The sequence below is a fragment of the Homo sapiens genome, chromosome 2, assembly GCF_000001405.40.
Source record: "Homo sapiens chromosome 2, GRCh38.p14 Primary Assembly".
NCBI classification, from domain to species: domain Eukaryota; kingdom Metazoa; phylum Chordata; class Mammalia; order Primates; family Hominidae; genus Homo; species Homo sapiens.
The window spans coordinates 188,172,551-188,197,139 of record NC_000002.12 but is presented as its reverse complement, the minus strand read 5'-3'; the positions used below and the strand labels follow the sequence as shown (position 1 = coordinate 188,197,139).

Genomic DNA, 24,589 nt, shown 5'->3' with positions numbered 1-24,589 from the left:
ATGTCTTTAATGAATTATTTGATTTTTTTTTTGTAGTGAGACTTAGCTGTATCAGTTTTCATAGTTAGCATAAATGTAATTGCTTCTAAACTGGGTGAAGCATGCATGAGCACTTTGGTCTGATTTGGGTAACTATAGCCTAGGAACAAAAGGTGAAGCCTTGGTAAGAAAAAAGCTAATAAGAAGGCAAGAAGCAGAACACAGGGAATAAAAAATATTGTCTTCAGTTTGAATGCAACATTGCATCATTTGTTGCTTATTTTGTACTCTGTTCTGCCTGTTGAACAGTTACCAAATTTATTCTGTCTTTGTTCCCTTGGTAATCTAAGGGATTGTGTCATTTGACATTGCTCCAGTAACAGTGATTTCTGGAAGTGGATATATCATTTGTAAAGAATCTGGAAGCTATGCAATGGAAGATATTACAAAAGGTATGTTCTCCTGAGGTGTTGAAGCCAGAACAACTCCCACACCTACTTTATGTGAATCTCATTCCTTTTTACCTGAACTATATCACCTCGAAAGAAAAAGAAATAGCTTATGAATGAATTGCTGCAGAGACTGTTGTGAAAAAAACTCCCATGGGAATGGATGTGCTTTCTTTCTGGAAGCGTGGTTCCTGACCTAAACTCTTCTTACTAGACTGCTATGAAAGTGTAACATAAGTGTCTGAATGTCAGTTAAAACTAAGAAATCTTGCTACTGAGCATTGCAGAACCAAAGTAGGAAAATATATTTTTTCTATGCTTCTCCTACTGCTCCTTCAATAAGCAATATTTTCTTTTTAGTTTTAAAGCTGCTATTGTTTGTATCATTTGATCCTTTAAAGGGGTTAACATGTCAAATTAGTCAGAGGAAACTAATTCTTTCTCTGTATTTGTTACCAGATTGGTTATAACGAAAATGCATTAGCATCTAAAAGTTGTCAAAATCATAAAAAAAAAGATCTAGCAACTAAATTATTTGATGTTAGTGCATAAGTTTCAATTAATCACATTTTTCACTTTCTGACATGCTAACATAAAAGATCATGAAAAGCCATTATTTTATTTTATTTTATTATGTTTTTTAATTCTTATTCCCTCTCTAATTCCAAGCCTAACCATAATACCTCTGTAATGTCTTAAAAATACATGTATGCATGTATGTGTGCATGTGCATATGTGGAAAGAGAGAAAGAGAAAGATATATATCTTATATACTTTATATATATGTAAGTTTTGGATCAGGTGGCTTATTTTTTAACAATGTGATCCAAGGTTGGGGGCGGTAGCTCACGCCTGTAATCCCAGCACTTTGGGAGGCCGAGGCGGGTGGATCACAAGGTCAGGAGATTGAGACCAGCCTGGTCAACATGGTGAGACCCCGTCTCTACTAAAAATACACACACAAAAAAAATAAGCCAGGCGTGGTGGTGTGCACCTGTAATCCCAGCTACTCAGGAGGCTGAGGCAGGAGAATTGCTTGAACCCAGGAGGTGGAGGTTGCAGTGAGGTTAGATTGTGCCACTGCACTCCAGCCTGCAACAGAGTGAGATTCTGTCTCAAAAAAAAAAAAATCAAAATTTATAAGATTTAACTAAAGCAGTGCTTAGAAGAAAACTTATAGCTGTAAACATCTATATTTAAAAAGAAGAAAAAACTCAAATCAGTAACTCAAACTTCCACTTTAAAACACCGAGAAAAGGAGCAAATTAAACCTAAAGGAAGCAGAAGAAAATAATAAAGATTAGAGCAGAAATAAATGACATAGAGTATAGAAAAACAATAAAAGGAAATAAAATCAAAAGTTGGTTATTTGAAAATATAACACAATTGACAGACCTTTATCTAGATACCAAGAAACAAACAAAAAACTCAAATTACTAAACTCAAGAATTGTAGAAGTTTAAGAACATTGTAGGATACAAGATCCATACACAGAAATCAATTGTATTTCTATACACTAGCAATGAACAATCTAAAAAAAACTTACATAAATAATTCCATTTATAGCATCATCAAGAAATAAAATATTTATGAATATATCTTTTTAAAAAAAGTTCAATAGACCAGGCACAGTGGCTCATGCAGGTAATCCCAGCACTTTGGGAGTCCAACATGGAAGGATCACTTGAGCCCAGGAATTTGAGACCAGCCTGGGTAGCATGATGAGACCCCGTCTCTATAAAAAAAATTTTTTTAAATTAGCCCAGCATTATGGAGAGCACCTGTAGTCCCAGCAACTTGAGAAGCTAAGACAGAAGAATTAGTTGAGCCCAGGAAATGGAGACCATAGTGAGCCATGATCATGCCACTGCACTCCAGCCTGGGTGAAAGGGTGAGATCCTGTCCCAATAAATAAATAAATAAATAAATAAATAAATAAATAAATAAATAAATAAGAAGTACAAGACTTTTATACTGAAAACTATAAAATATAACTTAAAAATTAAAAACAAATAAATGAATGGAAGACAATATTGTTTAAGACATCAATACTCTCTAAACTGATATATAGTTCAGTGCTATCCATATTTAATCTGTATCTATATCCAAGCTGTTTTTTTCCAGATATTGACAAACTGACCTTAAAATTCAAATAAAAATATGCAAGAGACTCTTTTCTTTTTTTTTTGAGTTGGAGTCTCACTCTATCACCCAGGCTGGAGTGCAGTGGTGCAATCTCAGCTCACTGCAACCTCCGTCTCCTAGGTTCAGGCAATTCTCCTGCCTCAGCCTCCCGAGCAGCTGGGATTACAGGCACCCACCACCACATCTAGCTAATTTTTGCATTTTTTAGTAGAGACAGGGTATCACCATGTTGGCCAGGCTGGACTTGAACTCCTGACCTCAGGTGATCTGCTTGCCTCGGCCTCCTAAAGTGCTGGGATTTCAGGAGTGACCCACAGTATCCGGCTGCAAGAAACTCTTAATAGACAAAGCAACTTTGAGAAAGGAGAACAAAATTAGAGGATTCCCACACCTAATTTCAAATCTTCCTACAAAGTGACAGTAATTAAGACAATGTAGTAATGGCATAAAAATAAGCATATAGATCAGTGCAATAAAATTTTAAATCAAGAAAGCAACCCTCACATTTGTGATTATTTCATTTTCATTCAATGAGAGAAAATAGCCTTTTCAGTAAATGGTGTTGGAAATCAATAAATTGATGAATGGATGGCTGAGCAATATGTATCATAGCCATACAATGGAATGCTATTCAGCAATAAAAAAGAATGAAGTACCAATATATAGCATGAATGAACCTTGAAAACAAAATATAGAGTCAAAGAATCAATAACAAAATGCCACATATTATATGACTCCATCTACATGAAATATATAGAATAGGCAAATTCATAGAGACAGGACTTAGATTGCTGCCAGGGCCTAGGGTGAATATATTTGTTAGAGTGAGCTGACCTTAAGCAACTGTAGGCCCTATTTAGGTAGCTTTTCTAAGTGGTAGGTCTTGAATTCCACAAGATATGCTGTCAGGATGGGACGATGAATAAAGTAAGGGAGAGCAAGGATAAACTGCAACCCACAACATAAGCTGGATCCATGAAGATGGTCTGAAGCCTGTGTCAGCTCTTCTTGCCCTTGACTTGGGTTGTATGGATAATCTGCAGGGGAAGGTCATGCCTTTTGTCATGGAGCTAAAAACACACATCATTCCTAATACATGCAGAAGCAGGAGGATAGAGGGGAAGGTGAATCAGTTGCACGGCTGCCCCACAACAATGAGGTGAGTCAGCAGGTAAGCTATATTAAGCATAAACTGTACAGTGGAAGCCCTTTCAGTTCCACCCACCAAATCTTAAACAAGAATTTCTCTTGTGGCCCAACCTTAGTGGAAAAATACAGGGAAGCAAATTTTGGGAAACAGTTCAGCCTAACCAAGTTGAAACATGATATAACCACCAAAGACACCTTTTAAAAATAAGAGAAAGGGGAATAGAGTGGGAAGATGTTAAAACAGTCTACCAAACCATAATAATAATACCACCAATAAAAGTCATGTAACATTAACAATAGTCCTGAGACTATAATATAACAATATATCATGATGGAATATAATAAAGAACTCAGAACAGAAGCATGCATATTTAGGAACTTGGTGTATGATATACATGACATCACAAACAAGCAGTAGAAAGATGGATTATTTATAGATGGTGTTGGGGAAACCACTTTGGTATATAAAGAAATGAGAAATTGAAACTAAGTCCTAGAAAATTCCAAATGAATAACTATATATGAAAGGTAAATGTGCAAGACTATCATTTTTACTTTGGTGTGTAAGCTTTGTATATTATCTACCAATTCAAATTTACTCATTGTATGAATTGTCTTGTACATCTGTGGTTATTTTCTTCAAGACGAGTCATAGTTTTCAAATAAATCATGACTGTGTTAATATAACAAATTCCTTATGAGAAATCATGAATTATCATTAGTGTATTAGTCTGTTCTCACTCTGTGAAAAAGACATACCAGAGACTGGGTAATTTATAAAGAAAAGGAGGTTTAATGGACTCACAGTTTCACGTGGCTGGGGAGGCCTCACAATCATGGCAGAAGGCAAAGAAGGAGCAAAGCCATGTCTTACATCATGGCAGGTAAGAGAGAGCTTGTGCAGGGGAACTCCCCTTTATAAAATCATCAGATCTCATGAGACTTATTCACTATCATTAGAACAGCACAAGAAAGACCCACTCCTGTGATTCAATTATCTACTACCGGGTCAATTCCATGACACATGGGAATTATGGGAGCTACAATTTAAGATGAGATTTGGGTGGGGACCCAGCCAAATCATATCAATTAGCATTTAATTTTGTATTGCAAATCTAGAGACAGATTTACCCCTTTGTTACCATTTTTTGTCATGTATAATTTTAAGAAGACTAATGTGCATGTTATTCGTTGAATTATGCTCTCCCTGCAAAAAAAAATATATATATATAATGAAGTCCTATCCCAAGTAGTTCATAATATTTGGAAGCAGAGTCTTTACAAAGACTCTGCAGAGCTAATCAAGTTAAAATGAAGTCATTAGAATAAGCCCTAATTCAATATGACTAATGTCTTTATAGAAAGGAGAAATCTGGATACAGAGACAGATACACACAGGGAAGACTCTTTGAAGGCAGGAAGAACATGATGTGACGATAAGATTGAGGGAATGCATCTACAAGCCAAGAAGCACAAAAAATTACCAGCAAACCCCCAGCAGCAACAAGGAGGCAAGGAAAGATTCTCTACAGGTTTCAGAGTGGGAATGGCTTTGTCTACCCCTTGATTTTTGACTTTTAGTCTCCAGGACTGTGAGATAATGAAGTTCTATTGTTTTAAACCACCCAATGTATGAGACTTTGTCAGCCCTATGAAACTAAAATAGTACATTATAAAATTTATTATATTAATGCATATACTACAAATTTATAAATATACTATATTTAGGTCTTCAATACATGTACATATTATCTTTAAAATGATATCAGAATAATTTGAAATAAACGTAAAGGCCAACAGTTTTGTTCTGATATTCTCTGAGCTGTTACTGAAGGAAGTAAAAAGAAACTTACTCTTCTTGTCAAACTCAGCATTATAATTATTCTTTTAACATGTGATCCTCATAAAAGGGTTAACTGTAAATATATTGACTAAAATATATGTAATAATACTTTGGATATTATAAATATGTAATGTTTGGAGATTTTATATGTAATGTTTGGGGATCTTTAACAAGGAATTATACCCCCAAAACCTCCAAGTATAATATTTTTCAATAAAAAATAGAATAATTTTGTCATCATGTTTCCAAGATTCTCAGAGTGATTTGGAAATTATTACATTATTCTCATAACACCTAAAGCATGTACTAAAAGTTTCCTTATATGAAATTAATGTTCAAAATAGGTATAAAATAATGGAAGTTACAATATATTATCCATTTAATAGTACTTCATTAGTAATAAGTTCAAAATACTACATTCTGAAATGCCTTATAATTCTTTAACCTTTGAAGTTAGAAATATACATTTTGATTAAATATATACATCAGAAATAATTACAGTGATATAATCCATTCATCACATAGTACTTTGTAGTTTAAAAGTGATTTTGCATGCCCTCTGTAATTTCTGGCTTATAATACCCTATAGATGTAAAACAAGCATAAATAAAACAATGAGGGTACTAAACTTTGCTCCGAGTATCATAGTTTCTTAGGGGAAAGGCTAAACACAAAGGATTTTCATCTCGTTTTTTGCAAATATGTTCATGTTTAAAAGTGTCTAATTTTAAGAATCTCTATGCACCAATATAGCAGTACTGACAATATGAACAATTCTATTAATTGGGAGTAGCTTTAAATAAAAAAGGGAAGTCTTTTTCTGATCCCTGATTTCCTTTCACAACATATCTACTCCTACTTTATCTATACTCCTAACCAATGTCCAGTAGTCTTCCAAAAGTATGAAAGTCCAAAGTGTGGGCTTCCTACAGATGAGATGCTGACCTGAAGAAATCCTGTTTAATAGTGTAGTTTTATTTATTATGGCATCCAGATAGGAAAAATATGCTTAGGCACTGAGGTATTCTATGAACTGTTTAAGTTATAACAAGTAGGCTTCTACCTATATAACCAGTACTGGATGATGGGTCAAAGGAGAAAATACTAGCATAATCATGAACATGGAAACTTTCCCATTTTTATTTATTCAACCACAGCTCGAGACCCTAAATTGAAAACTCACAATACAGCACATAAGGGCAATGGAGCTCTGAAGAGGGTACGTTGCTGCTTGGTGACCATCGGGACAGTAGAAACTAAGGATATTTAAACCTTTAGGATAAGTTGTGATACTTGGGCTTTTTATTCTCTACCTCAGTGATCAAGCTACATAAAAGAGCCCGGGGTTCCCTGCTGCCAACATGGTGACACTATGTTAATGAATCTTGATCCATGTGCCCTGGGGTTTGGAAAAGACACAGAAATTGATGACCACATGTTACCTGGAAATCCTAATGACACAATACTCCCTAGAAGTGCCTTTTAGCGTGAGGCAAAGAAACAGGGTTATTGTAGAAATGACCACGACCCTTAAAATTTGGTGGCCCAAAGATGCTGAGTTTCCCTGTGGGTCATGAGGACCCTATAGAAGGTAACAGGTTTGAATCATTCTGAAAGGACTGCCTTGAGAGCATGACACTTCTTCACAAAAAAACGGAGGAAAAAGTAGTACGATCCAGAGTTTTCATCACTAATTCAGGGAATAGAGTTATGGAGGGGTGGTGGTTGGGGGTGTTAGGACAGGATATAGGCATTAAAGAGAGTGTGGTAGATTAAATTATTATCCAGAAATATTCACTCTCTCTTGTCCTCAAGTTCAAGGAAGGCATATGTTCTCCATTGATGTTGAGCTTACCCTTGTGATTTGCTTTGACCTTTGAAATGACAGTAGATGTGCTACAACATAGATTTTAAATATGCTTGTACACTCACTTTAACCCGTCCTCCCTTATGCCTTTGCCGTTATCAAGAGAAGAATGTGACTCAGAAAGCCCACTCATCCCAGAGACAGGATGAGGATGAAAGAGAGGTGGAGCTGAGCCACTCCTAGGTAAAACAATCTAGATTAGTCAACTATACCAGTCAAACCACAGACTTCTAAGAGATCATAATTGGTTGTTGTTTTAAACAATCGAGTTTTAGGCTGTCCTATAATACAACAATAACTAATTGACACAAGGAGATGCTTCAAAGATCCTAAGAAAGTGTACTGCAAGAGAAAAAGCCAGATATGATGTTAACTAATAGTAAACTGGACTAGAGTTTTTAATACCTGACAAACTACAGTTGCAATACCCACAGGTGACTAGATAGCTGCTGTAGGTTCTCTCCAGGATATTGATCAAAGACAGGAAAGGTAAAACCATCAGAGATGGTTTCTAGTGGGATATTTTAGGTATATGTAAGTATGTATACAAATTAAAAGTTATATTTTATTTCCTTTCAGGAATAATTGCTTTAAAAAGGTGAAATGAGAGAGCGAAAGTAGAATATACTCACCCCAAAGTAAGTCATCCTTCCACAAAATCATCCATTAGGTTAATTTATTCCTTTAGCATTGGTAGGGTAGTTTTGATAATGTATGGCCACATTATAGCCCTCATCTACTAGACAATAAAGTTACATATTAATTCTAGATAAGTAGTTTGATTGGATCCACGGTGTCTTTACCCATGAAGCAAAGGTTTTTGCATATTATTAAAATAACTTTAGTAACCCACTAATCCAATTGATTTTTCATTATTTTGGGGTAATTTTAGACTTCATGTTCATATCTTTAAATATGAAAATCATGAAAATGGTAATTACATAAGTATAGAATTTATCATAGCTACAGTAATAATTAGAATATGAAATAAAATACACCGGTATAAACTCAGTTTGTCTTTGCAATTTTGATGTTAATTTGTTTAATTTACTAGGTTTAATTTACTATCACCTCAGGAGAGATGTCCCTTACTTCCTTGAGAGTGGAGCTCTTTAATCCTTTCTATTTGTAGTGCACCAGAGGTGATCTGATCTTGCCTCTAGTCCATCACAGATGGAGAATCCCTAGGAATCAAAAAGTAGATATAATTTTCTTTCCCTGCTGACTGCTGCTATATCTACCTGGGGGAAAAACAAAACCAACCAACCGACAATAAACTGCTATATGGGGTTTACTTTGTCCTTTTATTGAAGGGTGCTTTACATGTCCTAAAGCAGCTCCGAATAGAACTTGGACCTGTCTCTTTGTCTAACCTCTTATGGAAGGGGCTGTGAGAGGCGAAGTCACATAGGAAAAATTAATCTCCTTGGATATCTGTATACTCAAGGATAAATACATTCCTTGGGGGAAAAGTAACCTAAAATAAAAGAGTAAAGAAGTACAATTGATTTAAAAACACGGCATCTGTATTGGAAAAAGACATATTGCTTCTTCTGTAAAGCTGTTGGCTCTCATTAGATTATCCTGTGCCCCACATCTCTGAACTTATGTTTAAACTCCAGAAAGAGAAAGCTGCAATGAAAGCAAAAGAAAAGCTTCAGTGGCAGTTACTTTAAATTTTACATGAAACAATGAAAGCACTACTTGTGGCTTTTATAAATGAGAGCAATTTTTGTAGTACAGGTGCAGCACATAGTGTCTATTCAGACCAGTTTACTTTTAGAATAGAAAACAGGCACTGGATCTTGGCACTTTTAGCATGAGTGGTGCTGCCTTTGGTGCAGGTCTTGATGATTTGGCAGTAGGTACCACATAGAAATAGAGCAGGAATGTGAAAAACCACAGACACAGAAGGTGATAACTCTGATAAATACTTGGTGAGTAGGTAGGAGACACTGTCCTAAAGATTAAAAAAAAAATACTATGAGGGTGGAATTTGGGGGAGCTGGCATTCCTGCAGAAATGAGAGAATCAAAGCAAGAGAAATCATCTTTGTTTGTTTAAAAATGTTATCATGATTCTATTATTATGCCCAGGTTGGTGTCATCTGATTAAACACAGTGAAGCTACTGACTTGATATAATTACATATAGAAAATTTGGAAAATAAAAAGAAATAGAAGTAAAGCCACAAAAAGCTGTCTGCTATTACATAGTTAGAATCTTTGGACATTTAATGGAGAAAATAGATTTGGATCTAGGGAAACATCAGAACCATGTAGTTGCTACTATACCATATTTTTAAAGGTGATCTGTGAGATCATTCATTTCTGATTTAAAAGTTTTTTGCACATTGCTCTCTTTCTGATGTGAACTACAAAGTTGAAAGGGAACATTAAGAAATGAAAATTTGACAGATGTACATAATAAAATGACTGCAAAAGAATAAATAAGGTTACACAATGAAAATTTCTGATATAATTAATACTAAGAGAAATACAAAGAGCAATTTAATAATCATATTTAGATATTTTAATATAGGCAAGAAAGAGAATAGGTTATTCTTTGTTTCCAATATGTGCCAAAAAATGATATAGCTGAAATTTCTATCCATGTCTTCCTGCCTCTAAATCTATTGCTTTTGCCACTCCACAGGTTGCCTCAGAGTTGCTGAGGTCACTCTTATTCTCTCATGTTTGCTCAGACCTCCACTTCAAGAACAGGTGATTTGCTTCACTTCAAACAATTTTTTTTGTTTTATTATTTCTGAAAGTTTCAGAATGAATAAATTGAATTTTTAAGAATGATCAAATGCACAAGGTGATCTTGCTTTTCATAACTTAACAGATTCTTATATGACATAAATAATATCAACTTATTTATATGCATTACAATTTTTAAATTTATACATTGTGATTCGTTAAAGATTATTGCAACCTATAGAATGATGTTGACTCAAAAGACTAAATAAGAAAGATTAGCAAAAAAATTTGAAAGGGAAAACACACATTTTTGTTCCTTTATTCATAAAATGCACTCTGTGTCACAAATGCTATAGTATAAGAATGGTGTTTAAACCAATCACTTATGGGAAAATATGAAGGGTAGATGATGCACATAAGTAATAAGAAAGACACAGAGAAAAAAATAGCAGTATCTTTTTCAAATATTTATTATTAGTGTCTGGCGACATGCTTGGGGAAAACTCTAATAGAACTTATTTGCAAATTTAGAAATATTAAATCTATTATAAAGCCAGATCTACACAGATACAATTATTTCTATCCTTAGGGATAAATGAATCTTTGCTTAATGGTTTCATAAAAAATCATTTTGTTCAACTTCAAGTCTTGTATAAACAGATATTCTCAAGTAGAGATAATAATGGGAGCTTTTTAATATACTTTTATGTACTTAAAAAACGAAATGCATATTTCTGAAGTAAGCCCTCAGTGCTTTAGCAATAGAGTATTGTATAAATGAAAATCTACTTTAAATGAAAGCCTAGCAGAAATATATTAGCTCAAGGGAGTATATAAAATGTTCATGCTGCCTGTTGAATATAAATTTTATAATGGAAAATTAATTTTATTGCTCAGTCATTTAAATGATTATTTATATTGTTTATGATAATGGCAAATTATTATAAAATTTTAGCATTTAGGACAATACTTACATATCAATAAAATGTGACATTTATCTTGTATGTTAACATATACATATAGTACAATAACAATTTTTAACAGACATATCCAAACTTATCCATGCGTGCATTTTCATTAGTCATTGTATTTTCTTCACAGTCGACAAAACTTATATAGGAAACTCTTTGTCTTACCTTCTAAGTTTTATTTTATTTTATTTTTTCTAAATTTTAATAAATACAAGATTAAGAACAAAAAATGGATCAATTATTCAAAACACAGTTTTGTCCTCATCCAAAAAAGAATTCTCAATACCTTTGGGCTGAGAATAAGATATTGCAGATGATTGGAATAAGTTTATGGTTTCCAGGGTGGTTAATTTACAGGTAACCTTGTAGTTTCCCTCTGCCTGACTAAACTTTAGGCAGCCTTCCTTCTGACTCTAGGTCCTACCTCCCTTTCCTTAGAGCATTTTATTTAGAAAATCTGTAATTGTAAATTATTTCTCCACCCTTTTGAGAAGTAAATCCTTTTAAAAGCCTCTCATCAGTTTTACAACTCACGAATTTCTGAAGGATCTGTTTGCCATGTCTTTAAAATATAAACATTAAGAGAGATAGCACCCCATCTCCTACTTTCTATGGGAGGGTAGTGGCCCAACTTGGGTGGGTGACTGCTTTGCTCAAAGTTATAAAATTACTTCTTTTTACGAAAATATGAGAAAGTTTACTTTTCTTTTGGGTAAGATCAGTTGGCAACACAAATTGCCTATGATCTTCATCCCTGGCTTTTCAAAAACTCTCCTGGCCTCAGTTTCAATGCAGTTGAGTTCATACGATAGGTACCCTTTATCCCTAGTTTGACTTTCCATAGTTTCAGTTACCCACGCACAGTCAACTGCAGTTCAAAATATTAAATGAAAATTCCAGAAATAAAGAATTTGTAAGTTTTAAATTACATAGTGTTCTGGGTAGTATGATAAAACTTGTGTTGAGAGACAAGACTAGCTGGGTTTCCCAGGCCGACTAAGAATTCCTAAGCCTAGCTGGGGAAGGTGACCACACCCACCTTTAAACACAACACAGGGCTTGTGGCAGGTAATAAAGAGGGCTCACTAAAACACCAATTAAGTTAAAAACAGGAGCTAAAGAAATAGTCAAATCATCTATCATCTGAGAGCACAGGGGGAGGAACCATGATTGGGATATAAACCCCAGGCATTCCAGCCCAGAGGGGGCAACCCCCTTTGGGTCCCCTCCCATTGTATGGGAGCTCTGTTTTCACTCTATTAAATCTTGCAACTGCACGCTCTTCTGGTCCGTGTTTGTTCCGTCTCAAGCTGAGCTTTCGCTTGCTGTCCACCACTGCTGATTGCCGTCGTCCCAGACCACCATTAACTTCCATGCCTCCGGATCTGGCAGGGGGTCCGCTGCATTTCTGATGCAGCGAGGTGCCCATTGCCGCTCCGGTTTGGGCTAGAGGCTCGCCATTGTTCCTGCATGGCTAAGTGCCTGAGTTCATCCTAATCAAGCTGAACACTAGTCGCTGGGTTCCTGGGTTCTCTTCCCTGACCCACAGCTTCTAACAGAACTATAACACCCACCACATGGCCCAAGGTTCCATTCCTTGGAATCTATGAGGCCAAGAACCCAAGGTTAGAGAAGAAAAGGCTTGCTGCCATCTTGGGAGCAGCCACGGCCATCTTGGGAGCAGCCCACCACCATCTTGGGAGCTCTAAGAACAAAGACCCACCTGTAACAGTGTCACCCAGCTTCATCCCACCCACCATGTGAATCACTCCTTTGTCCAGTATATGCACCTTGTATGTGCTACTCACCCATTAGTCCCCTAGAAACCATCTCAGTTATCTGATCAACTGTCAAGGTACCCCAGTGCTTGTGTTGAAATAACCCTATTTTACTTAATAATGGCCCCAAAGCACAAGAGTAGTGATGCTGGCATATTGTTATAATTGTTGTATAATTATTAGTTATTGATGTTGATCTCTTACAGTGCCCAATTTATAAATTAAACTTTATCATTGGTATGTATGTATAGGGGAAAACAGTAGTCATGTACCACATAATGAAGTTTTAGTTAATGAAAATGCACAATGCACATGCACAATGGTGGTCCCATAAGATTATAATGGGGGCCTGGTGAGGTAGCTCACACCTGTAATCCCAACACTTTGGAGACCAAGGTGGGAAGGTCGCTTGAGGCCAGCAGTTTAAGACCAGCCTGGGAAACATAGTGAGACCCTGTTTCTACCAAAAAAAAAAAAAATTAAAAATTAGCTGGGCATGGTAGCGCATGCCTGTGGCCCCAGCTATTTGGGATGGTAAGGTGGGAGGATAGTTTGAGCCTAGGAGTTCCAGGTCACAGTGAGCTATGATCACCCCACTGCACTTTAGCCTGAGTGACAGAGTAAGACCTGTCTCTTAAAAAAAAAATTATTATGGAGCTGAAAAATTTCTATTGCCTAATGTTGTAGTGCAACACATTACCTTTACTATGTTTAGGTACACAGATACCATTGTGTTATAGTTGCCTACAGTATTAACATGTTATATAGATTTGTAGCCTAGAAGCAATAGACTATACCATATAGCCTGAATGGTAGTTGGCTATTCCATCTAGGTTTGTGTAAGTACTCTCTATGATGTTCCTACAACAAAATTGCCTATTGACACATTTCTCAGAGTATATCCTCCTCATTAAGCAATACATGACTGTATTTACCTAAAGGGCTTGATCCTGTCTGAGGTTTCAGCATCCACTGTGGGTCTTGGAACCTATCCTCTGTGGATAAGGTGGGGAGAAGTCTTCTGTACTGTATTCTGGTCTCTCTCTATTTTATTGCAATAGCATTCAATGAAATCTTTCTTGCCTGTTTAACTTTGGTGTTGCTTTCTCAGAGGACAAATTTTTAAATTCATTCTCTCCATACTTACCTACACATCTATTATTTCTAACATACTACTTAAACTTTAGTTAGATGAGTTTGGGAACTTATTCAAAATGATTCTCATCTTTTATTTTTCTGTCATATGCTTATGGAGCAAGTAATGAGCATTGATGAAAAACATCACAAAACAATGTAATTAGTTCCACTTTGAAAGGATGCTATTTTTTTTTATTGAGTTTTCACAGTGTGCACACCTCTATTCAGTGGCTTTGTTTAAAACTTTTATATTATCTATATTTACCTTAAAATAGCTCAGTATGGACCAACAGCACAATATTTTTAACTCTCCCTTTACTATTATGAAATAGAATTCATAAATGACCTACTTATACAAATAATTTTTTAAATTGAATTACTGCAATATAGCATGAAACATAGCTGTGACATAAAAAAGAGATAAAAGAAAAGTTATAATACAGCTAATTGCATTGTTTTTGAAAAAAGGTCATGTACCACTTGTGCTAGAAAGCATAATGAAATAGCTAAATGTTTCACCGATGTTTAATATTACCATGATGGCAACAGTCTCAAATGCAGACTGATACAGGGATGCTGTATTAATGATTCAATTAGTACAAATAACATTGCTATTGGTGACATTGTTTTCTGAAATTACACGCAATTCTTGATAAATACTTGAACAATACAAAGTATTGTCCCTTGACTCACATGTCACTTGCAATATTGAAAAATTAACAGTTCCCAAACACAATGCAGAAACACTTTATATTTTTATATAAGGCAGGGATGAAGCCTGGGTTCAGATATGTATAAATAAGATAATCGCTTACTAGAATTGTCTATCAGGTAGATCATTTGGAATTGTGTGGGATTCAATCTGATTCTGCTTTGTAAGATACTGTCCTAAGTCATGCAACTCTGGCCCTCAATCATTGAGCACTCAACAATGATATTTGCTGCGACTGACTTCAATCAACACTTTAGGAAGTGTTTAAATTTTAAGTAACAGAATGAGTTGTTTACAATTCAAGGGTGTTTAATTAGCATTTGAAAGACTTTAATCAAAGGCCCACACTTCAGCCACAAGTATAGCAAGCCATTCAATTAGTGTTATCTTAATCTACACTAGAGAATTTGTTAATTAACATAAGGAATGGTAAAAATAAATTTTCATTATCTAAATGAGAGTTGTACAAGATACATGATTGGTTAAAAACAAAAAGTACAGTTATCATTAATGAGATCTAAAAATCTGAGGAGCTCAGCAAGCACACTAGTTCCAGTGACCCATTAAGACTTGTCCCTTTCACTTGCTAGAAGATTTTGTCTCTTGATCCAACTATAAAGTTAGATCATCCTAACTTGTCCCCTTGTGAAGCCCCTTTCACAGCAGGCTCCTTTCTCTTGTATCCACCTGCTTCAGCAACTTTTCTGCAAGATAAGCAATCCTACGGGACCGCCAGATGGTTACAAGTTCCTGATACCTAGTACAGCCACGGAAAGAGAACAAAAGCCTCTTATTCCTGATGTAGCTTCCCCATTCTCCAGCCAATCAACACCCAAAGCCCAAGAAACCACAGGTTCCTGCCTGAAGCTAGGACTTTATCCACACGTGCAGCTAGGCTCAAGGTTTAGCTTACAGTGAACTTTTCCTCATTTTGATAGTAGAAAACACACCCCTAGGTGAGATTTTATAAGCTAATGATGCACGAGATGTGTGTTGGGATATGCAGATGCTAAGCCCCTCCACCAACCACAGGTCCACCTTTGCATAAATTGACTTCACTAGTATTTTATGAATGAATATGTATAAACAACTCCCATAAAACAATGGCCATAAAAGGAATTCCTTTTAAGGAACTAGCTGCTGTCTCTCCCTCTGAGCAGCCCACTCTGCCTCTCAGAGTGTACTTTCACTTTGCAATAAACCTTGCCTACTCTTACTTTGGGCTTGCTCTCAAATTCTTCTGTGTGGTAAAGTCAAGAACTTGAGTTGGCCTACCAAGAACAGTTGGACTGCCTAAAAGGCTAAACAGCTAAGACTTCATCTAGTTTACATTAACATGACTTTAACTATTTTTGAACCTTCTAAACATGCAATAATTCAGCCTGAGTCTTACTGTGATGGTAGCATACCTCCCAGTAGTGAGGTTCTAGGAAAGGAGAACTACAGCTCCCACTGGCTTCAAATTGTTAGCTGCTGTCAAACTGATATGGGTACAGTTCTCATCCTTGGATGTCCAGTGGATTCACCTAAGAAGCTCTAAAATATATTGATGCTGAAAGACCCGAAGGAATTCTGGTTAATTGGCCTGGTGTGTCTGAGCATTGAACTTTTAAAAACTCCCCTGGTAATTTCAGTGGTAAAAGTTAAGAACTGCTCTCCTATGACCTTTCCCACATCATCTGATTGAAAACATTTTCCTATTTGTACAAGCCCAGGTCATTCTTTCATTTTTTTTTTCTTTTGAAACGAAGTCTTTCTCTGTCGCTGACTGCGGTGGCACAATCTCGGCTCACTGCAACCTCCGCCTCCCAGGTTCAAGCGATTCTCCTGCCTCAGCCTCCCAAGTAGCTGGGATTACAGGCGCCCACAACACCTGGCTAATGTTTTGTACTTTTGGTAGAGATGGGGTTTCGCCATGTTGGCCAAGCTAGTCTCGAACTCCTGACCTCAAGTGATCCACTTGCCTTGGCCTCCCAAAGTGCTGGGATTACAGGTGTGAGCCACCGCGCCCAGCCCCACTCTCAAACTTTTAATACTTAAGTAATATGCCATCTAGTTATTGGGGGAAGAGAGGATTTTCAATGAGAGTACTTTTGTTTGTCTTCTTTTTTGCCTTTAGGTTTCTCTGTCTTCATCTGTCTATATACCCGTCTATGGAAATTGGAATTCTCTTCCTTGCCAGAGCAAACACACTTATTGTTGTTTGGAATTAGACTCACCTTTCCCTACTGTTTCAAACACAATGTTACCTAGAATTTGGTTCATAGCATCAGTATCACTTGGGAGCTTTTAAAAAATGTAGAGTCGCATGCACCATGTAGAACTCCCAAATCCAATCTGTGTTTTTAACAGGTTATTCAAGCCATTTGTATGCACTTAAGGTTTGAGAAGCATTTCTTGAAGGCATTACTCTACTAAATAGTTATTAGTTGCATCTCTAGTCTCTCCCTTGGCTGACTCTGTTTCACTAAAAAATAATAAATAAAAATTATTACCCTGAAATACCATCCTCAATGCCTTCCTTCCCTCCCCTCAAACAGATAAACAAACAATGATGAACAAACACAGTTCTCAATAATATAGTCATACATTCATTTACTCATTTATTTATTAAAAAAAATTATTCTCTAATAAGTATTGACTGTGTCAGACATTCTCTGTGCACTGGAAATGCAGTGGAGAGCAGCGGAGACATGGGCTCTTCCTTAAAAGATTTTTGAATAAACTAGAGGAGACGGACAATTAAGTAAATAATTAATCTCAAGTTTGATTATTCCTCTAAGAGAGGAAGCATATAGTACACATATGCACATGCAATGAGATCATATTCATTAGTTCAAGAAAACTGAATGGAAGTGACATTTAAAATGAATCATGCAGGATGAGTAAATGAAAGCAAACGAAGTTGGGAGTAAGGGTTGTGTGAAAGGAAGATTCGAGGAATAAAGAGCAGAGTAGGATTGAGGGTACAATGACATGCCTGAGTAGCTGAATAAGCATGTTCCATTATACATTTATTCCTTCCTTATTCTTGTAAACAAACTCTATATTGTAACAATTTTTTATGTTTCACTTATTCCATAAATTCTTTCAGTCTGCCTTCTAGTGCCAACACTCTATTTAAACACAAAAGTTATCTGTGCCCACAAAATAGTGAAATTCACTAGTATTTTCTCCCATGCTTATTCCTTTAATGTGATCTGTGTAGCAGAGTGCCTGGTGTGTAAAACTTGATTAAAAGAAACAGCTGGCTGGGCGTGGTGGCTAACACCTGTAACCCCAGCACTTTGGGAGGCTGAGGCAGGCGGATCATGAGGTCAGAGTTTGAGACCAGCCTGGCCAACATGGTGAAATCCCATCTCTACTATAAATACAAAAAATTAGCCAGGCATGGTGGCGCACACCTGTAGTCCCAGCTACTCTGGAGGCTGAGACAGAAGAATTGCTTGAACCCGGCAGGCAGAGGTGGCAGTGAACCAAGATAGCGCCATTGTACTCCAGCCTGGGCAATAGAGCGAGACTCCGTCTCAAAAAAAAAGAAAAAAAACACACACACAAAAACAAAAAAACCCAAAAACAAACAACAAAAAAACCCCCAGCTATACAAGTCTCCTAGATCTCTTCCTATAAAAGTGGAGCAGAAACTCCCTTTTTATCAGATTGTTTGTTATTCAAAGAGGAACTTAAGGAGTTCCTGTTTTAATATTAGTATTAGTATTAGCATTATTACTGTGCCTATTGCTCAGGGAAAAGTTTGCTGAAATTTTTTGCCTTCATTAAATTCCTTGGCAGACAATTAATACCAGGACAACAAGTGGATATATTGGCTTTCAAAATTATCATGATAAAATGTGTAAATGATGAAATCTGATTAAATGGTTAAAATAGAAATCAATTGGCTTGCATTTTATTTTTTCCCCACATCAGCACTGTATTTCAGAGGCATCACTTTAAAACAATTTTTATTTCAGTTCTTTTCCTAGTTCCTGCTAGAGCTCTCAATAGAATTCTTATGCCTCTTTCCCATAATTTATTAACAATATACAATACAGTAATTCCCTACTAAAGTATGTCAAGTTTGATCCAGTTACAACATCTTTACCTCCTCTCCTTCCTCTCAAATTTGATAGATATATCAGTTTTTTAACAATTTGTTACATTTGAAAATTTAAATAATATGTTCATGCTTCTATTTCTTTTCCCATCAACTTTTGACTTTACATCTTGGTTTTGTTTTTGTATTTCTTGTTTTTGAGGTTTTAGAGACCTTCTGCTTCCTCCACATCTCTTCCCATTTTTCTTCTTGCTAATATGGGCAATATACCACATTGGTAACATCTATACTGTGTTCTGTAAGATAATGAACTGTTCAATAATTGCATTTAGGTAAATTCTAAAAGTTGAGAAATCTACTAACCACATTACTAACATTAATATACATTTATATGGATCTTCATATAACCTAGTTTCATGCTGATTACATTTCCTTCTTTACACTTTCAACACCTCAATAATTCAGGCGGTATTTTTCTGCCTTTTCTTTAGCATGTTTGGATACTTTCAAGGCCATACCCTTGCTTAAATTCTGTTTTATGTTTATCTGCCTCATTTAGGATTTTACCTTCCCTTCAGAGATACAGATAGTAGGTTAGGTGTTAATGTCTATATACTTTTTCTAGTTAAGAGCACTGAGTCTCTTCTGGAAAATCCAGGAGCTGTTCTGTGCTCTGAGATCCTACTAAAAGTCCTGTACCAAGGTGAAATCAATTATGTGGAATCTTAAGTTTGCCTATTCCGTCAGATCACATAAAACCTTGGAAAAGAGCAAGCCATCCCTGACTGACCTATTTCTGGTGAGATCGTGTCCTGGCTAAGTAGGACTTTCAGATTCAAAAGTTCAGTGTTTTTGTTTTGTTTTCCTTTATGTGCTATGGACTATTAATGCATTCTTCAGTCCACCACTCTCCAATTTAAGGATGTTATTGAGAAGTCTTAGCATTTTATCACATCAACTCCTTGTCTGAACGCTAATTCCAAAATGATAGTTTCAGCATTAACAGCCCAGAAATATTATATCAGATTCTTCCCTTTCTTTTCTGAGTTACTAATTTTCATGTTTTAGGGTGTGAGGTTTTAGTCTTTTCCTTAGTCTGCTTCTGTGTGAATTTTAGCTGATATATTACGATGTATTTTCAAAAATATAATTTGGCATTAGAGTGTGAAGAAATCATTTTCTAGCTCAAAGAAAAACCGTGGCCTACGTGGAGACCTGAACCAGCAAAGTGATCATTGCAATATTGGTTAAAGTTTGTTTTCAGTGGCAGTATTCTATTTCAGCAAAAAAAGAAAGGTTACCTAAAACTGGAGTGCCCAGGCTACTGAGATGGATTTCTAATTTTCATTTCACCTGGTATTTTAAAAAGCTGGCCTGTAATTTTTGTTTGAGTATTGACCCAGGGTTCTTTTAGTCTTTGAAGGGAAAAAAGAGTTCTAAAGAAAATTGCTTGTCCTGCTAATTTTGCCTGGAGCATTTAATTTGAGTGTTAAATGGAATGTGACCTTATTTGTATCACACCCTTGGTGATGTAGTAATACTGGCTCTCTCTATGCTATTTGTGGTAGATGACCACTAACTTGTTGCAAATTCTTTCTCCCTTGGTTTTGATACATAGTATTAGATATTGTCTCCCTTATTTTTTTTTTGTCTTTTTTTTCTTCCCATCTAAATGCAGTAACCCTCAATAACTAGGCTTTAACCCTCTTTATTTCTTGTTGCATACTTTATCTTTGGCAACTTCAAATTTCCAAGATTTACACTAATTTAAGGGGTTTTAACGCCTCATAACAAAACCAACTCTTACCTATATTTCTCTGATTTATTTCTGTTAATAATTGCCACAACAACTCTTTTTGATCACCATGTTTCTAGTTCCTTGAAAATAAAACCTTGGAGACGTCTATAATTTCTCCCTCATCCTTAGTTCACATTAAAGTAGACACATATGTGACTCTTTTCTGTAGCCTTACATCTAATTAGTTGTCAGGTCTGTTTATTTCAGTATCAATGTTTTTTATAAATTCTCTTATTTCCATTCTGTCATCGGCCTAAATCAGGCTATAAAATGTTTTACTTTTATTATGTAATCACTTATGATTAAATGTCATCTCTCATGGTATGCTTTCCTCAAACTAATTCTCTTCTATGTGCCCCGGAAATACTATCCAGCTTAATAATTCAAAGGAATAGCTCTGATCATACAGCAATACTCTCCTATTGAGAAATTATCACTAATTGCTCTTACAATATTATTTTCTGAAGCATTCTTTCAAAATGGGTTTCAATAGTTAAACAAGTATAAAATCTTTGTATAAATACAATTACAAGGTTTCTTTACTAGAAAATTTCTCAGAGCCTTTTATTCACTGGGTACTGGTTGTTGTTTTGTTTTGTTTTAATTATTGTAGAGTAACTCGTAATACTAATGTTTCTTGGAGAACCCATGAGAGGATGTATGCCTACAGAATTGTAGCAGATTTTTAACGACAATATTTTTTCCAGAGTGCACAGCTAAACTATATTTCCCATCATCCCTTGTATTTATATAAAGTCATGTGACTGAGTTCTAGCCAATAGAATGTGAAGGAGTTATATGTGCCATTTCTGAGCCATGATTTTTAAGAATGGTGCAATCTCCACAGTGTTTTTCCCCTCGGTTGGTAGTATATGGATAAGGGTGGGGCCCTAGAGGACAATTGCACTACAAAATAAGAGGCGACGGTCTCTGAGTCACTATGTGGAGGAGAGCTGCCTGCCAACCAGCGACTTCCATCTTAGATGGTTATGAGAATGAGAAATAAACTTCTATTTTGTTCAAGCTGTTGTATATTTCGATTCTATTTGTTTTACCAGCTAGCACAACCCCAATAGATAAAGGTATGAAATTTAAATTCTTTAGCCTGGAAATGCAAAGTTCTTTACAATATGGGCACCAAGTATCATTTAGAACTACTTCTATTGAATAACAATAGCATATATTCTTATAGTGGGCCCAAACTATTTATTCATGATAGTGCTTCTGGTTACAACGTCTCTTTTTTCATTTAAATTTTTTGAAATTTAGACTCAGCTTAGATGTTACTTTCTTTTTTTTTGAGACAGAGTCTCACTCTGTCACCCAGGCTGGAGTGCACTGGTGTGATATCGGCTCACTGCAACCTCCACCTCACAGGTTCAAGCGAATCTCTTGCCTCAGCCTCCCAAGTAGCTGGGATTACAGGTGCGCCCCACCATGCCTGGCTAATTTTTGTATTTTTAGTAGAGACAGGGTTTCACCATGCTGACCAGGCTGGTTTCGAACTGCTGACCTCAAGTGATCCACCTGTGTCAGCCTCCCAAAGTGCTGAGATTATATGCGTGAACCACTGCACCCAGCCATAGATGTTACTTTATTAATTCTAACATAAAAAAGAAACATTTGTTACTAGTAAACTCAAACTTTGGTTTAGCTTTATTTTAAATGAGTGAACATTGAGATCTTTTCAAAGTGTGGTCTTCAGGGTCAGCTATTTTAGAACCACTTAAAGTGCTGTGCAGAACCTAGGTGATCCCTCTCCTTTTCTGTGACATCTTATGGCTCTAAGTCTAACTCCATCTCCCTCTCTCCCTTGTAGCTAAGGTCTAAGGCCTGAATATGATTTGGGTTCTGCTAATAAAGTGTGTCAGTCCTCTGAGCCCAAGCTAAGCCATCATATCCCCTGTGACCTGCACATACACATCCAGATGGCCGGTTCCTTCCTTAACTGATGACATTCCACCACAAAAGAAGTGAAAATGGCCTGCCTTAACTGATGGCATTGTCTTGTGAAATTCCTTTTCCTGGTTCATCCTGGCTCAAAAGCTCCCCTACTGAGCACCTTGTGACCCCCACTCCTGCCCACCAGAGAACAACCCCCCTTTGACTGTAATTTTCCTTTATCTACCCAAATTTTATAAAACAGCCCTACCCTTATCTCCCTTGGCTGATTCTCTTTTCGGAGTCATCCCGCCTGCACCCAGGTGAAATAAACAGCCTTGTTGCTCACACAAAGCCTGTTTGGTGGTCTCTTCACACGGACGCGAGTGAAATTTGGTGCCGTGACTCGGATCGGGGGACCTCCCTTGGGAGATCAATCCCCTGTCCTCCTGCTCTTTGTTCCGTGAGAAAGATCCACCTACGATCTCTGGTCCTTAGACCAACCAGCCCAAGGAACATCTCACCAATTTTAAATCCAGTAAGCGGCCTCTTTTTACTCTCTTCTCCAACCTCTCTCACGATCCCTCAACCTCTTTCTCCTTTCAATTTTGGCGCCACACTTCAATCTCTCCCTTCTCTTAATTTCAGTTCCTTTCCTTTTCTGGTAGAGATGAAGGAGACGTGTTTTATCTGTGGACCCAAAACTCCGGCGCTGGTCACGGACTTGGGAAGACAGTCTTCCCTTGGTGTTTAATCACGCAGGGACGCCTGCCTGATTATTCACCCACGTTTCAGAGGTGTCTGACCATGTGGGGATGCCTGCCTTGGTCCTTCACCCTTAGCGGCAAGTACCGCTTTTCTGAGGGGCATGAACCCCCCAACCCTTCTCTCTGTGTCTCTACCCCTTCTCTGCTTTTCTGGGGGGCAAGAAGCCCCCACCCCTTATCTCCGTGTCTCTACTCTCTCTTTTCTCTGGGCTTGCCTCCTTCACTATGGGCAAGCTTCCGCCCTCCATTCCCCCTTAGCCTGTGTTCTTAAAAACCCAAAACCTCTTCAGCTCACACCTGACCTAAAACCTAAATGCCTTATTTTCTTCTGCAATGCCGCTTGACCCCAATACAAACTCGAGAGTTGTTCCAAATAGCCAGAAAATGGCACTTTCAATTTTTCCATCTTACAAGATCTAAATAATTCTTGTTGTAAAATGGGCAAATGGTCTGAGGTGCCTGACATCCAGGCATTCTTTTACACATCGGTCCCACCCTAGTCTCTGTGCCCAGTGCAACTCATGCCAAATCTTCCTTCTTTCCCTCCCACCGGTCCCCTCAGTCCCAACCCCAAGCGTCACTGAGTCTTTCTAATCTTCATTTTCTACAGACCCATCTGACCTCTCCCCTCCTCCCCAGGGCGAGCTAGGTCCCAATTCTTCCTCAGCCTCTGCTCCTCCACCCTATAATCCTTTTATCACCTCCCCTCCTCACAGCTGGTCCGGCTTACAGTTTCATTCTGTGACTAGCCCTCCCCGACCTGCCCAGCAATTTCCTCTTAAAAAGGTGGCTGGACCTAAAGGCATAGTCAAGATTAATGCTCCTTTTTCTTTATCCCAAATCAGATAGTGTTTTGGCTCTTTTTCATCAAATATAAAAACCCAGCCCAGTTCATGGCTCGTTTGGCAGCAACCCTGAGATGCTTTATAGCCCTAGACCCTAAAAGGTCAAAAGGCCGTCTTATTCTCAATATACATTTTATTACCAAATCTGCTCCCGACATTAAATAAAACTCCAAAAATTAAATTCTGGCCCTCAAACCCCACAACAGGACTTAATTAACCTTGCCTTCAAGGTGTGCAATAATAGAGTAGAGGCAGCCAAGTAGCAACATATTTCTGAGTTGCAATTCTTTGCCTCCACTGTGAGACAAACCCCAGCCACATCTCCACACACAAGAACTTCCAAACGCCTAAACCTCAGTGGCCAAGTGTTCCTCCAGGCCCGCCTCCCCCAGGAGCTTGCTACAAGTGCCAGAAATCTGGCTACCAGGCCAAGGAATGCCCACAGCCCAGAATTCCTCTTAAGCCACGTCCCATCTGTGCGGGACCCCACTGAAAATCAGACTGTTCAACTCA

At 37.1% G+C, this 24,589-nt stretch overlaps 2 long non-coding RNA genes across 2 annotated transcripts in view, besides 1 other annotated feature; both read left to right on the top strand.

The window, feature by feature from the left end:
* The window catches only part of LINC01090 (long intergenic non-protein coding RNA 1090), a 252,096-nt gene that overhangs the window by 90,552 nt on the left and 136,955 nt on the right, over positions 1-24,589 (top strand). The window lies entirely within an intron of this gene.
* LOC124907927 (uncharacterized) lies at positions 8,012-10,238 on the top strand. Its single transcript, XR_007087580.1, has 2 exons — positions 8,012-8,070; positions 10,087-10,238. It is a non-coding gene; the product is annotated as an uncharacterized LOC124907927 (long non-coding RNA).
* Positions 22,266-22,922: an enhancer, noted in NCBI's record as "OCT4-NANOG hESC enhancer chr2:189038945-189039601 (GRCh37/hg19 assembly coordinates)". NCBI's record gives its function as "activates a minimal SCP1, AML or CMV promoter by ChIP-STARR-seq in naive H9 embryonic stem cells {active_cell/tissue: H9 hESC(naive)}" and the evidence as "EXISTENCE:reporter gene assay evidence [ECO:0000049][PMID:30033119]".